The sequence below is a fragment of the Homo sapiens genome, chromosome 2 (assembly GCF_000001405.40).
Source record: "Homo sapiens chromosome 2, GRCh38.p14 Primary Assembly".
NCBI classification, from domain to species: Eukaryota; Metazoa; Chordata; class Mammalia; order Primates; family Hominidae; genus Homo; species Homo sapiens.
In genome coordinates this window covers 168,340,901-168,358,750 of record NC_000002.12, presented here as the reverse complement: position 1 = coordinate 168,358,750, position 17,850 = coordinate 168,340,901, and the positions used below count along the sequence as shown (strand labels likewise).

The window sequence follows — 17,850 nt, the reverse complement described above, 5'->3', positions numbered from 1 at the left end:
CTTTAACTTAATTACCTCCTTATAGGCCCTATCTACAAATACAGTCTCCTTAGGGGTTAGGGCTTCAGCAAATAAATTTGAGGGGGACACAGTTTAGTACATAGCATTGTCTTTCTTGTAAATGAAAATATCCACTAACATTCAAGTCAGAATTATACTGGTTTTTCAATAACAACCATATTTGTTTATAGATACAAGAGTTGAGCAAAAATAAACAAAAGTATCCAATGAGAATAAGTTAGCTGTATCAAATTTACTTAGAGTATTAGATATTATTCTTTGTAAATTGTGCTATACATTCCTCATATTAGTAAAATTTATAATAACTTTGTGTATGTATGTACGTACATACATTTTCCCCCAGAGACTTAGTTGTTAAACATTTACCAACCCAACACAAGCAGAAAACAGTAAAGAGAAAGATGAGGAAAGAGCCCAGGAAACAGCATTTGAGCCCTTGTTTGTAATTGGCAGCTCCACCCTTGTACTTTCCAGTTACATGAGCAAGTAAATTATTTTCATTGTAGTTTCTTAAAGCTAATTTTAATTGGATTTCTGTCAGTTGCCTCCAAGAATCTTGACTAACACTATGTGTCATAGACAAGTTCAGGGAACCAATTTTTTTTTTTTTTAACTTTCTCTCTCCTCTCTCTCTCTCTCTCTCTTTTGAGTGCCGAGAGAGGTTTCTGTAGGCTGAAGATCCAGCCCACATTTTTAAAAAGTCAGGTAAGTCTTTAAGTGTAAGAGATTAATAAACTCTATCCTGAAACTCTGGATTTTGCATTGCTAGTTCTACTGCTTCTCTGACTCTGCACTCAGTTTCACTTTCACGAAAAGGTTCAAGCTAGGTGTGGTGGCCCATCCCTGTAATCCCAGCACTGTGTGAGGCCAAGGAAGGAGGATCTCTTGAGCTCAGGAGTTTGAGACTGGCCTGGGCAACATAATGAGACTTCATTTCTACTAAAAAAATTTTTTAAATTTTTTTGGTTAATGCCTCAATAAAGGGTCACTTCTGAGCCTTGATTCTCATTTTTCACCCAGTTCTGCAAATGAGTATCTTCCCGTTCTTGCACCTGATTGACTTGCCTGGTGCCAGTACCTTTAGGACTGGCCCTGCCTTTTCCTTACCAGATGCTCCTGGATGTGGCATTTGCACCCGAGACTCAGCTGCTGGAAGACAGTATGCCCTGTGCTGCCAGGTCCATTAGCTTCCCAGCAGCCTGTTTCCAATTTCCCATAGCAGTGCTTCTGTGGGGATGAGCTCTGCTGGTCCTCTCTGATGTAAATTGCTGTTCTCAACAACGCCCTCCAATCTGTAATGTGGCCCACTGGACACAGGATTCTGCCTGCCACAGGAGACCCCTTCCCAGAGTCTGCTGCTCAATGGAGCCCACCCAGCTGACTCTCCCCAGTAAGGCCCTTCCTTGCAGAGCCAACTCCTCCCAGGCCCCTGCAGCAGCTGGTCAAGCCAGGCCCTGACAAATCTCTTTTCAAAACTGCAACACCTGGTGTCATCTTGTGCTGAAAACAGAATCATTTGCTGCAGTTTGGAACCCAGTTATGTGACTGCCTTTAACTTAGGACTGAGAGTTCTGCTTGAACATATTGAAAATAGTTCTGCCTGTGAAAAGACAATTTTAATATTCCCTAAATTTGTTGTTAAAAAACAAATTGGGCTGGGCGTGGTGGCTCATGCCTGTAATCCCAAATATTCAGGAGGCTGAGGTGGGAGGATCTCTTCATCCCAGAAGTTCAAGACTGCAGTAAGCCATGATTGCACTACGGCACTCCAGCCTGGGCAACAAAGCGAGACCCTGTCTCAAAAAAAAAAAAAAAAAAAAAAAGGTGATGATGCTGGGAAAAAAAGATTTTAATAAAAATGATGCTGAAGGGGGAAACAATCTTTAATGGATAAGACTCATTCAAGATCCACAAATATAATAATGTAATTATTACAATTGAGAGTTTCTTTCTCAAGCCATATAGGATTTCCATTGGGGATTTCCCCACAGTAATGGGATTTCTCTTAGTTTTTCCCTGGAGCAGCTGTGCTCAACCTTTTTTGTACGACAGCTTACTTGATAAATGATATTTAAATCTGCAACACTCCCACAGGCATGTCCAGATTTTAATGAGTCAAAAACAATTTGTGTGTGCAGAAATAAAGTGCTACAATGATTTTTAATGGCCGGAGCTATTAAATGTAGATCAGTAATAGACAGGCAAGACTATCAGCTATGTGTAGTTTCTGATACATTAGCAATCATTCCATTCTTTCTCCCACTCAATAAAGCATTATGGATTTTATTATTATTATTATTATTATTATTTGACACAGGGTCACTCTGTTGCCTAGGCTGGAGTGCAGTGGCAGGATCACAGCTCACTGCAGCCTTGACCTCCCCAGCTCAAGTGATCCTCCCACCTCAGTCCCACAAGCAGCTGGGACTACAGGCACATGCCACCATACTCAGCTATTTTTATTTTTTGTAGAGACAGGGCCTCCCCGTGTTGCCCAGGCTGGTCTCAAACTCCCAGGCTCAAGCGATCTGCCCACCGCAGCTTCCCAAAGTGCTGGGATTACAAGAGTGAACCACCGCACCTGGCCAAGCACTGTGGATTTTAGATTATTGAGAGTTGTTATTCTGCGGAGTAACCTTGAATCCATTCACATGTATCTTTTTAAGTAAAATATTTGCAAGCTTGAGAACTCTGGCTCCCATCAGTTATGCTAGTCACTGTGATGCACCTCACAAGTGGCTGAGAGTCAGCCTTGGGACATGGGTCATCACATAACAAAGGGAAAGAAGGGGAGAAGGAACAAAAGCCATTTTGTAGGAAATAGAACAAGGTGGGGAAGAAAATAGGGGGTAAAGAAGAAAAAGAATTTGGAAGGAGATGTGGAATGTTACAGCACCAGATCATTTGACTTCCCTCAATTTAGCAGCTATGGTTTAAAAGCAAGGAAAGCAAATCGACTTTGTCCTTTATCCAGAGGAGTCACAAGTCTGGGTGCAGGGTGAGAAGATGGCCTGAGTTGGGGCCAGCAAGTCCTAGAACTTCTTGTGAGTATGAAAAGTAAAAAAGAGAGAAGACACACTTTTGTCAGCCAGTCTTAAGTAGCTAAAATGCTTTCCTCCACCTACTGAGAAAAAAGTTAGGATTCACCATTTTAGCATAAAATACCCTCACTCATTTTAAAATACATTTTCTAGAAATTCCCCCTTTCAAAGCAAGACATCTAATTTGAAAGCCTCATATCACAACTTTCAACTATAATATAAATTAAGTGATTTGGTTGGAATTTTAACATTAGAACACGGGTACATGTGACAATACTGGCAGGAAACACCTGGCACACTCAAAGGGGTAATGAGTAGAAGTTTAACAAAGGGACTATTCACAGAGGTGGGAGCAGAGTCAAGAGGAAAACAAGGAGAGTGAAGCACCAAGGATTGGCAGCACTGGGCAGCCTTTACCATCATGAAACCTAAAGGGACTAGGGGAGGAGAATTGAGCCGATCTTGAGCACAGCTGCAGAGCTGTGGGAGGGAGGGGGTGCCTGGCTGGAGCCATGGCTGAGAGCAGAGCCCTAGCCAAGAACAAACAGGCAAAGAGGGTGCAAGGGGTGGTGGAAGAGGGGCAAGATTCAGGACCTCATGGTGCTCACCATTGGCTAATCCCAATCAGAAGCCAGAGGGCAAGAGAACCAGAGTGATGGAGCCTCCGTAGGCCCTGAAGAGATGGAGAAGACAGAGAATGTGTTTGAAGATGGAGAATAACCTGCATAGGGAGTTTCTGCATAGCCTTCTCCCAATTCTTCTTCCTGCCTCTTCATCATGCTGAACAGTCATTGACAGTGTGAGTGGAAAGGAAGAATTGGCAACCTATGCTCTCTAGAATTTGCAACACTCACCATTCTGATTTGGGGCACACTGCTCTACTAAAGGGGAAAAAAATTACACACAAAATAAAGATATCAGTAGGTTCAAGAGGTAACCTAGGCAGTCTGGATCAAAATTTGGTGCCTTGTTTCTAAGGCATAAATGTGGTCTAGACATGTGGTTTTGAATAGAATCTGTTTCCTACAGACAAAAGGCCATGAAGATCAACAAATTGTTCTTAACTACTTCCACTTAACTTAATTGCATGAGGCCGCATAATCTACACAGCTGAAGAGAAGAGATGTACTCACAACTTGGATATGGCTTTCTTTGTTCACCAACTTTGAAAAGGCTTAGAATAAAGATTGTTTTTTCTTCCAGTGAATTTCAATATGTCAAAGAACTCAGCTTGAAATGAATAAGCCCCAGTAGGTTTTGCTTCAATATAAGAATTAAATGATTTTATTCTGATATCTAGGCAATCTATAAAGAAGTTGCAATTTGATGCCTGGTGCCAAATTTTACTTTTTTAAGACTTGTCGTTCTACTTGTATCTTTCATGATGCTGAGAGAGAAAAGTAAAAGGAGGCTGTGCTGTTATCCAGACCTGACAAGTCTTAATTCAAATTTCGTTAATTACACACATAACACATTTTTATTATAAAGTTTATAATATCTAGTAAAAAGTTGTAGGTGAAAAAACAAGTTCTAAGTTCAAATATGGTTAGGATGTACTTGATTAAACAAATATAAATGAACTTGTTGCTATAGAATTTCTCATATCTGTCATATTCTAACATGATGTATTTATACAAGGGGGCTAACGGGTGCAGCCTTCCCAGGCTTCCTTGACCATCAAACACTTGTGTCACACATCATCTTGTTAGACTAATGTTTCATAGAATTAATTTTTGAAGCACTCTCTTAACAGGAGGTCTCCAAGTTCCTATTTCTGTACTAACAGTGTATAAATCCTGGCATTATTAGTGGTGAGACTAGGTTTTTAGGAATGTCTATGGGCTGATGGAAGCATCTCCTGGCTGTAGAATCAGAAGAATTAAGTTTATTCCAAACTCAGTTGCAGTTGGTTGTACTACTCACTAGCAGAGAGACACTGGGTAAATCAACATGACTTTTCTGAGACTCAAATTTCCTCATCTCTAAGAGAAATGATCCTTACCTCAATAGGTCTTTAAGGTTTTCAAATAGCTTAGGACTTCCACAAAACATTAAATATACCCCTACCATATGATAAGACTTTCTACACCCAGGTATTTATTCAAAGAAAGAAAGGCATATGTCATATAAGAATGTTCATGGTAGCTTTATTTGTAATAGCTAAAGGTAGAAATTACTCAAATGTCCATCAACACAGAATGAATAAACAAATTGTGGTATATCCATACAATGGAATATTACTCAGCAATGAAAAGAAGTGAACTATTCATACACACAACGACACGGATGAATCTCAAAATTTATCACCAGTGAAATAGGTAAGACAAAAAGCATACATACTATACAATTTTATGTATGTAAAGGTATAAAAAAACTAAACTATAGTAACAGAGAAAGGATCTGTGGCTTCTGTGGTTGCCTGGGGACTAAGGGAAAGGGGGCAACAGGAAATGGTGGGAGGGGAGAATTACAAATGGGATTATGAGTAAACTTTTGGGAATGACAGATGTGTTCACTATCTTGATTGTTGTGACAATTTTGTGGGTATATGCATAAGTCAAAATTTTTCAAATTTTACATTTTAAGTACTTGCAGTATATGAGAGTTTGGGTTTCTCCACATCCTCCTCAATATTTGGTGTGGTCAGTCTTTCTAATTTTGTTAATTTAATGGATATGTGGTGATATCCATGATAGTTTGAATTTGCATTTCCATAATAACTACAGATGTTGAACATCTTTTCCTGTGCTTATTTGCTACCAATATACTTTCTTTGGTGAAGTGTCTATTTAAATTTTCTTCCTTTTTCATTTGTTTTTTTCTCCTATTGTTGAATTTTGAGAGTTTTTAGATATTTTTGATAAAAGTTATTTATCAGATACATGATTTGCAAATATTTTCACCCAGTATGTGCTTTTGGTATTTTGTGCAAGAAATCTTTGCTTAACCCAAGGCTGCAAAAATGTTATCATATGTTTTCTTCTAGAAGTATTATAGTTTTTGGATTTTACACTTAGGTCTATTGTTCACTTTGAGTTAATTTTTGTATATGGTACAACATGTGGATCAAAGTTCATTTATTTTGCACATAGATATTCCCTTTTTTCCAGAACCATTTGTTGAAAGGCTACATTTTTGTCCAAGAACTGGGCTTTAAACTTTGTCAACAACCAAGTTTTCATTTATGTTTGGGTCTGTTTCAGGACTCTATTCTGTTCCCTTGGTCTACTTGTCTAACTTGACTCCAGTACCACAGTATCTTGCTGTAGCTTTATAAACTTTGAAATCAGGTAATTTTTAGTGTTCTCAACTTTTTCCTTCTTTTCAAAATTGTTTTAACTAGTCTAGGTCCTTGGTATAGCCATATAAATGTCAGAATCAGCTTGTCAATTTGTACCAAAAAAGTGTGCCAAGATTTTGATTGAGATTGTGTTTAATCTATAGACCAATTTGAGGATAATTTTAACTTAGCAATATCAAGTCTTCAATACCATGATATCTTTATTTATTTAGATCTGCTTTAATTTATTTTGGCAATGTTTTGTAGCTTTCAGCATATAGGTCTTGCACATATCTTGTCAAATTTACATCTATGTATCATATTTTTATGCTACTGTAAGCAGCATTGTTTTATTTAAATTTCTGATAGTTTGTTGCAGGTACATAGAAACGCAACTGATTCTTGCTTGCTGATCCTGTATCCAGCAACCTTGCTCATTTATTAGTTTTAGGAGCTTTTTAAGATTTGCTCAGATTTCCTATGTAAGCTATCACATTATCTGGGAATAAAGGGAGTTTTACTTCTTCCTTTCCAATCTGAACATCTGTTATTCTTTTTTCTTTTTTTTTTTTTTTCATTATTGCCCAAGCTAGAGTCTCAAGCACACTTAAATAGAAGTGGTGAGAGCAGACATTCTTGTCTTGGTCCTGACCTTAGTGGGAGAGTATTCAGTATTTCATCATTAAGTATGATGTATGGCTATAGTTTATTTCATAGATTCCCTTTATCAGGTTAAAGACATTCCCTTCTTATCCAAATTTGCTGAGAGATTTTTAATGAGAAACAGATGTCATGTTTTGTCAAATGCTTTTCTGTGCCTATTTGGTCTGTTTATATGGTGAATTACATTAAGTTGATTTTCAAATGTTAAATTCTTGGATTCCTCAGATAAATAGCATGTGGTCATGTTGTAGCCTTCTTTTTCTAAATTATTACATATGATTCCCAAAGTGGTTGTTTTTTTTTTTTTTTTTTTTTTTTTTTGAGACGGAGTCTCACTCTGTCGCCCAAGCTGGAGCGCAGTGGCCTCGCTGCAAGCTCCGCCTCCCAGGTTCACACCATTCTCCTGCCTCAGCCTTCCAAGCAGCTGGGACGACAGGCGTCCGCCACTATGCCCGGCTAATTTCTTTTGTATTTTTAGTAGAGATGGGGTTTCACCGTGTTAGCCAGGATGGTCTCGATCTCCTGACCTCGTGATCCGCCCATCTCGGCCTCGCAAAGTGCTGGGATTACAGGCGTGAGCCACCGCGCCTGGCCAGCACACACCTCTGTTTTAAAGTAAAAAGCACAAAACAAAGTAAATCCAGAAAAGGATTGCTTTCATGTGCTTTCTACCCCATTTCCTCCCTCCCTATATAAGAGGTAATTGTTTTTGTCAGATTTTGTCTCATCCTTTCATTGTTAATTTTTGAAAATATAAGCAAATACAATTATATAGTTCCTTAACCAAAAGATAGCACACAATAAACACAGTTCTGCTCTGCTTGTAGGTTAGAATTTTGATTCCTGTTAAATTGCAACTCTTCTAGGAAAAATAAGGAGGTACATGTTAAATAAAGAGGTGCATGTTAAACTATCACTAGTTTCACACTTTGGTAGAAATTAGTTTCCTTGTCTTTTTTGAGAGCTGGGAAGTGTCTGAATGAGATTGAAAAGTTTCCTTTGAGAATAGGGATGAATTCAGGAATCTCGGAGCGTCACAAGCAAACTTCACTTTTACTTGGCATCAGAGGAGTGGGAAGGCAGGTGCTGGCAACCTGTTGAGGTGGCAAGGCTGCATGGATGAGTGCTCAAGTGCTGGCTTATACAGTATAAATCCAGCTACTTTCATTGTTATAAAACTGCTGGCCATCAGAGGGGGTAATTAGAGTTTTATGTTTTAGTTGGACTTCTCAGCTGAATTAAATGTGATAAGGCTGTGCTTATCACTCTTGTGAAAGTCATTTCTACAATATTTACACAAACTCTATGAGACTTAAATCTTTTATTGATTTTCTGTTTGTCTCTGATAATGTTTCACTGAGAGGAAATGACTGAGATCCTGGAATTCGCGTCTTTAACACATGACTGTTCCCAAAGTCATGAGTTGTTGTTGTTGTTGTTGTTGTTAACAAACCTCTTTATTTCCTACAATAAGTATATTCCATCTTGCATTTGCTTTAATAGATGAGAGTTTCCAATGTCATTAGTGATTTTTAGCACTTTATAGTACCATCATATTTTTATAACCAAGGCCAGGGAGATGAAAGGGGTATTGACAATATTTGTTGGCATTGGTTGTTGTCTTTGTAACCAGAACTGCCTCTTTTATTCTGTGCTTTTTCTAATTATTTCTGGTTATGATAATGTTTTTCTTTGGCTTCTAGGGGGAAGTATGTAATGATGTTTGTGACAAAAAATAAATGTGATCAACTGGTAAAAACAGCCTGATGTTGTGTCTTCAGTGAATGTTCCCACTAGCCAGGCTGAGCTTAAGGTTAGTGATCCCATGGCACACACAACCTTCAGGTAAAGCCAACAGGGAAGAAACGAATTCAAAACAGTGTAAAATAGTATAGAGCCAGCACTTTCTATTCTATAGAGAGAAGTAACCTCAGAAAAAGACTATGGCAAATGACTAGGGCAACCCCTTATGTCTTCACATCATATTCCATCCTCTATGATGAAAGAGCAAAGTTACTTGAGATTGGAGCATAGTTAGAGGATGGAAAGAAATTTAAGTGTTCCCGTTCAATGCTGCTTTACATACCTGCATTTAAAGGGTCTCAAGACTTTTGACCTGCTGTAATGATTACTGTTCCAGTCTAATTGGTTGACCACTAACATTTGCGACCTACTATACTTACCTGGATAACAGGATCTAAAATAATGGTCCCAAGCCACAGTTTGTCTGTAGGAGCTATTGTGTTACATAATATGTGTGTGCTGAGTTAGTTTGGTGATTCATGTATAACTGATTGTGGTTATAATCTAGTAGGAGATAACCAAAGGCATAGGATTTGGGTCATAGAGTGGAATGAAGAGTCACCATATTCTCTTCTCAAAGATAATTTAGAATCAGAGAAGCCAAGTAAGACATCTTTAGAATCAAACAAACCAAGTAAGAGCAGAGAATCTGTACTAGAGACCAACAGCCTCCAAAAGAGACGACCAAAGTTCTCCCTGACATGTCAGAGACTTGAGAATGAGTGCAATTCATACAAAAGAATTGGCATCCCATGATCCAACCTAAAGACAGAAAGTCAAGTCCTATTTTGTCCACTTACTCTTGTGTGTCCTTGAACAAATTGCTATGGAGACAATAATCTCTGTCTATTTCACACGGCTTTTGTGACAAAGAAAATGTATATGAGAGAGAAACTCTCGCTGTAAAGTATTACAGAACTAAAAAGACTACCTGAATGACCAGAATGTGAAGGAAGGGGAAGCAGCATTTTGAGTATTCCTTTTTTCCAACCAATATATTCCGTTGATCCTAATGACAACTCTGGTGCTCTTAGCTTATTCTTGCCCCACAAGCACAAAGAAACAGATTTAAGGGTGTGGGATAGTTCCCTGAGCCCAGCCTTCCTTACAGGAGGTCCTTAATCCCTTAGGTGGGAACATTTTTTCAGAAAAAGACTCTCCTGAACATTTGCTGACTTTCCCTATGGCCTATTAAGTCTTAAATACATATACTGTGGGGCAGGTCAAACATTCCCTTAAATTCTTTCAGCTTCAGAATTATTTAATGTGACAGTCGCCATGATGGCATAATAGAGCCACCCAATACCCACGCTGACTGGACCTCACCATTCCGCAGCTCTCTTTAGCAGCTTCCTTTAATAGCTTAAATCTACCCCTCAGGAACTCCCAACTTCCCTTTAAATGTGATTAAATTTTGTATTTAATTGTTTAATTATTTTTAAACTAATTTCTGCCTCTAGGTGTATGGTCAACTAAACAATCCAAAAACCATGTAGCTCCACAATAATCAGAAATTCTGGATCCAGTAAAACAAGTCTCCTTTAAGACATGGCTGAATGCTGGAAGAAAGTAAAGAAAGTTCCTGGAGTCAAAGATGAAGTGAGAAGGAAAAATCAGAGCAGTGAGTACGTGCATGTATGCTAGAGCCACTCAGGGTGGGAGTTGCCTGGCTTGGCCACCTAGAGGCTTGGATTAGAATGCTCAGGCCAGGGCAGAATGTGAGGCCTGGAGATACAGAATGCTGGGTGTTGGAACTGCAACCCCTGCAGAAATCCTGGTCTTCAGAAGGGCTATACTCAGAGTGAGGGAATGAATCAGGAAATGCACCCATCGGCTCAGGGAGACAATAAAGGTGATTTTCTATCTCAGTGGTCTGGGCTCTAGGGGAAAAGTTTCCCTTGAGAGTTTGTAATCATGGGTCTGTCATTCCATTGGTTCTGAAAACCTCTAAACTGAGAAATAAACATAAACTGAGGTGGGGGCAGTAATTCCCCTTGGGCAACTAACAGAAACAAGGGCAAAACCTTCCTGATCTAGAGGATTAGGGTTGTCCAGGCCCCTCGGGATTCCCTCCAGCCGTTCCTGCATTTCAAGATGCATGCTCTTAAGCTCTTATTCTCATACTTTTCAGTTCCAATGACCACAACTCTTTCAACAAATTTTTATAGGAGTTTCCAGAAACTTCATCCCGCTCATTTTTTTCTGTGTTCTAACATGTCATGTTTCATTTAAAATGTATCCTTTTCCTCCAGTTCAGACCTAAAGGTAATACACCAGAAATTGTCTAATGTGTGGTATAAAATAGGACCATGATAAAAAAAAACCAAAGTAATAAAAAATTATATTACTGTAATAATTTATTAACGTCATATCACTATAATAAAACTTTTATTATAATAACAACTACAGTTGATATGTCTTATGTGCCAAATACTATGTACTAGACATGCACACTCCTTTTTAATCCTGAGGAAATCCTGGGATAGGTTCTAACACTACCCTCCTTCTACACATGAGGAGAAAGAGGCTTAGTAACTTACCCAGGGTAAAGGAGCTGGGAAGTGGTCACAGAGCTGGCAATGTGTTATCACCAAAGCCAGGATTGAAACCCAGCCCTATCTACCTTCAATGCCCTTGCTTTAAGCCACGAATCCTCCATCTCTCTTAATACTAGTCCTGGTAGGGCTAGTTCCCTTGTTAGTGACTATCACGCGCTTGAAAGTGTTTGAAGCGACCTAATATTCCTAGGATCCTTACTTCTATAAACATTTAAATCACAGTTATTTTTCCCAAAGATAGATTGTCATGGGAGAGGGGAACAAAGACTAATGAGGAAGGCACAGGCAGGAAGCGGGCAGAGGACCAGAAACAAAAGCAAAGATAGGAGTGGGTGGGGACACGGGAAATTTCTTTTGCTTACTTCACAAGCTTACAGCCGACCTGGCCTGGCAGGTGACAAGGTGCCTCTGGATGACACAGCCAGGGATTCTTCTAGGCCAGTTGCTTTTGATTTCTTACATTTTTTTGAAGGTAATACTAGATTTCTGAAACGGCTCTCACCGACGCGCCTTTGTTTCTCCTGGAGCCACGGCTCCTCAGCAGAGGACATTTGTGTTTGGGAAGCCTGCCCCCTCCTGGATTAGTGAAATCTTACAGGCCAGGTTTCCAAGCTCTCCAAAATTAGATCTAGTGTGTGAAAATGTTTAAACTGTCGTTCAGAGATTTGAGGAAAACAAATAATTTCTTTCATATGATTTCCCTGAGATTTTTGGATTCTTCTCATATAAATCTTTAGGTGTATTTTATGGATTTTGAAATAATACCCACCTAAAAATCCTGAAAAAATGTTTTAAGGACCCAAAGAGATAATAATAACAGCAATAATGGTAAACATTATATTCAGTGATTTCTATGTGCCAGCACTGTGCAAAGTACCCTGTGAATAATGCCAGTTGCAGCACTCACCACCACCCCAAGAGACAGGTTCTCTGCATTATTACCCCCCACCTTACAGAAAGCCTCAAAGCAGCAGTCCCCAACTTTTTTTGGCACGAGGGACCATCTTTGTGGAAGACAATTTTTCCACAGACCAGGCAGGGGGTCGGGGTGGGAGTGGTTTCAGGATGAAACTGTTCCACCTCAGATCATCAGGCATTAGATTCTCATAAGGAGTGTGCAACCTAGATCCCTCGCATGCACAGTTCACAATAGGGTTCACGCTCCTATGAGAATCTAATGTCACTTGCTGATCTGACAGGAGGCAGAGCTCAGAGGCAGTAATGCTCATTCTCACCAGCCGCTCACCTACTGCTGTACAATCCCATTCCTAACAGGCCACAGACTGGTACAGGTCCGCAACCATGGGGACCCCTGCAAACTGGAGATCTTCTCTACCACCACCCTCACACACCCAACCACCCGTAGGTTGGGAGCCCCTGAAATTCTTGAACTGTCATGCCATCCTATTGACCACACTTGATTGAATCAGAAATAATCAACCAAGCTGAGTTACTTGGACACTTTCTCCTGGGAATTTGGAAGCAGAATGAAAATAGCCATCAGTCTAGGCTTGTCACTTGAATGGAGGTCATCAAACATCAGGAGCCCACTGTGGAAGAGCATGTGCTGCCACGTGCATGGAGAGGCAGAAAAAGATAACCAGAAGAAAGAGAAAAGAACAAAGGGGAAGCACAGAAAAAAGACAACTTCCCTTTTCTTAGTCCCAGTCCCCCGTGAGGCTCCCCTGCTGGTTACACTGATTTGGCTACTTGAAATAGGTTTGTTTTTGTCTATCAAAAAAAAAAAAGTGTATATAACTAAGTCGTGTGAGCAGTAATATGTAAAAGTGAACCAAATCTACTGTTATAATGGAATAAAATCTGAAGTTAATATGGCACATTGAATGATGTGCATAATTTTATTGTACTCCATGGCAATTAGGCTCTAATAGGGAGCAATTAATGAAAATGACTATAATTATTATCATGTCAACAACGCCAAGCCAAGCAATTCCAAAGTCAGCTGTAGGGAGGAGGAATTAGAGACAGCAGGAAGTTGTTCTGGGGTTCCTCAGAAGAACCTGGGATTTAAAAACCAGGAGACTAAGTCCCCCACCTTGCCGCTCACTTCTCTAGCAACCATCACCCAGGAGGACTCCGGAGGTCCCAGCTAAGAAGCTGTGAGCCTCTAGCTACTCCTCACCACTCTCCTTGCACTACCTCTTCCCTTGCTGCTTCTCCAAAGAGGAGTCCTGAGGATGGTGGGTTGTTGGGGAAGGGCTGCATCTGCTTGAGAGGCTGTCTGTTCCTCAACACTGGATTGGTGAAAGCTGGAGCACAGAGAATTGGAAGCTGTTTTAGAAGAAGTTGCCAGCCTACTTTCCGTGGTGCACACCTCCTTCAGTCTATGTCTACCCTTGGCACAAAGCATCATCAACATGGTCCAGAATAGCTCAGCTGGGATCTGTGTTGAGGATGGCGATGAAATCCTCATGGCAATAAAATGCATGCAATGGCCTGGCTTTGCTCTCTGTTCCATGGGCAGCTGCGGCTAGGAGTGTGACACATGGTTGAGGTAGGACTGGATTGGGTTGTTGAGACTGCTGCATCCCAACCAAATACCATCATCTCAGTCTCTTTTCCACTGACGTACAACTAACAAAGACCCTTCAGAACAGTCAACGAAAGCCAGATCCTAGACATCTGAGTAGTTTGACTTAAAGTAGCCAGCACTTAGAAAAATCCAGTGACTGGAAGTATTCTGTTTTCCTCCTTCCACTAAACCAGTACCTCAGTCTGAACTTCCACCAATTTGTGCATTTGTGTTAGTAAGCAAATAAGTATCAGCTATTTTACATGTATTACTTCCTTGAAAATGGTTGTTTTTTTTTTTGGTTTGGGGGTTAATTAATCTAATTAATTAATTAACTGTGATCCTGGCATAAGAGTAATGGGAATGGTATGGAAAGAACCAAGAAAGGTTTTTCTGGAGTTATTCAGTACACATTAAGTACCATGTGTTAGTCATTGTGTTAGGCCCTGGAGGAAAAAAATCACAAAACAGAGCTCTACTTTTTTTATTTTCAGATGCAGTCTCACCCTGTTGCCCAGGCTGGAATGCAGTGGCACCATCCTGGCTCACCACAACCTCCACCTACTGGGTTCAAGCGATTCTCCTGCCCCAGCCTTCCAAGTAGCTGGGACTACAGGTGTTTCTGTATTTTTAGTAAAGATGGGGTTTCGCCATGTTGGCCAGGGTGGTCTCGAACTCCTGACCTCAGGTAATCCACCTGCCTTGGCCTCCCAAACTGCTGGGATTACAGGTGTGAGCCACCACACCTGGCCAGAACTCTACTCTTCAGGAACTTAGTGCATCAGGTACTCAACAGTAAGTAGCGTGATGACTTAGGGGCAGGAAAAAAGGAGGCTGTTTCTATCTTGGAACATTTTAATAACCTCCGAACATTTTATACGGATAAAGCTGGGTTAAAACAGATATTAAGAGGTGCCTAGGAGAGAAAGGATTGGGGTGGGAACTGGAAGAAAATTGTAGGAAAGGGGAGGGTTGTTATCTTGGAGCTGGAGATGGCTTCGTCCTAGTGCATCTGAGGGCTGTTTTTAAATAGTGTCTGTCTGAATCATTCCTCCGCCCTCCACCCTTCACTTTCCACCCTCCACCCAACCCTCTTCCTGAGTCACCCTGGCTGCCATTTCTCATTCTGAAAGGAGAAAGAGGAAAGGATATAATTTGTATCAAATCCCTACAAGCTGCTAGGATACATTGGTGCATTTCCTTTGGAACATTTCATCTACACATACCACAGTGCAATGGATGCGAGTTCTTCTGTGTAAAGATGGGGAAACTGAGGTGCAAAGGGGTAGGTAGCATGACTCTCCCCTTATTACACAGCTGGTAAGAGAAAGTGCCATAATGCAAACTCACATTCTAAATTATAACTTTATCATTAATAACGACTAGAACATGCATGCTGCTTTTTTTTTAAAGTTAAAAAAAAAAGCAGGTAAGTGTGAAACACAAAAATCTTTCCTTCTCTACATTCCAAAGTGTTTGGGGACACATCCCTATACAGTTTTTCTTGCATCCACAAATGTGTACTTACATATGTGACATGTAACTGTATATGTGAACATGAAAATTTTGACATAAAAGGGCATTCTAACCATATTGCTCTACAAATCACTTCTGTCACCTAATGCTACATCATGGATATCCTTCCATAATGTCCACATCTTTACATGTACTTCATTTTTCTAAGATCTATATGAAATTTAATAAATATATATTAGGTAAGCATTTTCTTATTGATGAGGATGTCTCTATTTTAAGATTTAATATTAGTGCAGTATTTAATACTAGTTAAAGTATTCTCTGTATCTGAGTTTTAAAATTTACTCAAATGTAATGCACAGGAATTCTGAAATGGAAATTTAAGTATCCCTTTCTCTCACCCTCCATTCCAACTTCCATTCCCCAGAGTTGCGATGTTGCTATTGTTGCTTTCGTGTTTTTCTTCTAGTACTTAACATTTCAACTTTAAATACATATAGTTCTTGATTTATCTGTTTTAGAAAGTATCTGTTGTCTTGCCTCGATGACAGCTGAGTTTACCATACTTTTTTTTTTTTTTTTTTTGAGAGGGAGTCTCACTCCATTGCCCAGCCTAGAGTGCAGTGCCACAATCTCGGCTCGCTGCAACCTCCGCCTCCCAGGTTCAAGCAATTCTCCTGCCTCAGCCTCCCAAGTAGCTGGGATTACAGGTGCCCGCACCACGTCCAGCTAATTTTTTTTATTTTCAGTACAGACAGGGTTTCACCATGTTGGCCAGGCTGGTCTCGAACTCCTGACCTCAGGTGATCCACCCACCTTGGCCTCCCGAAGTGCTGGTATTACAGGCGTGAGCCACCACACCTGGCCAAGTTTACCATACTTGTGCTATCTCTACCTCTTTCTTTTAAATGTTAGTCATATTAATAATTTTTAAATTATTCAGTTTAAATTTGTACTTTTCTATAGATATGTCGTGTGATTTGTCAAAAAATTTAAATTTTTGACAAAATGTCTTATGTACTTTGTCAAAAAATTTAAATTTTCAAAAAATGTAAAATCCAATCTCAAAAAATGTATTCTGATTATGTAAATATTATATACTATAGTTCCAAGAAGTATGATAGGATCCATAGGAAAGGAGACCCTGTCCTCTGTCACTTAACCATGCTGGCTGCTTGAAGGAGAAGGATTGAGATCTAATGGCTTATGCTTTTATTTCTTTTCAGTTTCCTCCTAAGCCATACTGGGCTGCCACTGTTCTTCATATATCAGGTTCAAGCTGATGGATCCAAGCCAAAGGACTCCATATTCTCCAAAGCCTATAAGCAGAATGCTGGTGTGGTGTGGGGGGGGAAGAAGTTCCATTGTGTCCCTACTGAAGGGACACAGAAGTACCAAAAGGGTCACTGAACTGCCAGGTACCAAGTGGTACCAGGTGCCACGAGGCTGCCAAAGGCAGAGATGAGCCAAGCCATCAACTTCAGCTGAGGTTGAGACATGGCATCCATAAATGCCAAACAGGACCATACTCTATGCAGAGAATAAGGATCAGAAAATCAAGTGCAAAACGGGAAGTCTCCCTAGAACCCACATGTGCTGATTCAAGACACCCTTATTCTCAAGCCACAGTGTTACCTATTCCCTTGCCCCGAACACCCAGATACCATTTTGGTGAGGAACAGGAGAAAGGAAAGGGAATACAATGTAAAAGGACTGTTTGAATCAGAAGAGATTGACATATTGATATTTGTCCAGTTCCATGGTTTCTACCCCACACCCAATAAGAAAGAGGCTTAAGAGGAACATTAGTTCATGAGACTAACTGGCTGTTCATTAAACCCACAGCTGGACTACATTTTCAGCCTTCCTTGCAGTTAGGTGTAACCATGTGAATGGATCTGGCCAATAAAATGTGAGTAGAAGTGGTAGATCCCATTTCCTGACCTGTTACACAGAGAGCTCCCATGCATTATCCTTTATGTTCTTCTCTTTTCCACAGTGATCTTGGAAACCAGGTATTGAAGATGGTGAGGCCACAGATGGAAGGCACCTGGATCCAGATTTAAAAGAGTTGCCTGCCAATCAGGAACACCCTTTTTGAGCTTTGGGGATGTGTTTTAGTTCTCATATTCCTGCATAACAAACTACTCCAAATTTAGTGGATTAAAACAACAATTTATTATAATCCCTATAAATTCTGTGGATTGACTGGGTTTAGCTGGGTGGATCTCACTTGGGGTGACTCATATGATTGCAGTCAGATGTGGGCATTTTTCTTTTAATTTTTATTCACTGCCTAGATCCTTTACTGGGCCCTGGGAAGTACATTATTGAGAATTCATATTTTCGGCCAGGCATGGTGGCTCATGCCTCTAATCCAAGCACTTTGGGAGGCTGAGACGGGTAGATCACGAGGTCAGGAGATCGAGACCGTCCTGGCTAACATGGTGAAACCCTGTCTCTACTAAAAATACA

The 17,850-nt window shown here is 40.2% G+C and overlaps 1 long non-coding RNA gene across 6 annotated transcripts in view, besides 1 other annotated feature; it reads left to right on the top strand.

The window, feature by feature from the left end:
- LOC105373734 (uncharacterized) overlaps window positions 1–17,562 on the top strand; it is an 80,567-nt gene extending 63,005 nt beyond the window's left edge. For 2 of the 6 annotated variants that reach the window (XR_923559.3, XR_923560.3), the window contains 4 exons: window positions 8,709–8,818; window positions 10,269–10,433; window positions 14,394–17,287; window positions 17,375–17,562. This is a non-coding gene — a long non-coding RNA (uncharacterized LOC105373734). Of the gene's footprint in view, window positions 1–6,175; window positions 6,353–8,708; window positions 8,819–10,268; window positions 10,434–14,393; window positions 17,288–17,374 lie in introns of those variants that run through there. The other 4 variants (XR_001739766.2, XR_923561.3, XR_007087284.1 and 1 more) reach the window with 4 other exon arrangements.
- Window positions 3,143–3,644: an enhancer, noted in NCBI's record as "NANOG hESC enhancer chr2:169211617-169212118 (GRCh37/hg19 assembly coordinates)". NCBI's record gives its function as "activates a minimal SCP1, AML or CMV promoter by ChIP-STARR-seq in naive H9 embryonic stem cells {active_cell/tissue: H9 hESC(naive)}" and the evidence as "EXISTENCE:reporter gene assay evidence [ECO:0000049][PMID:30033119]".
- Window positions 17,563–17,850: the final 288 nt, after the last annotated feature.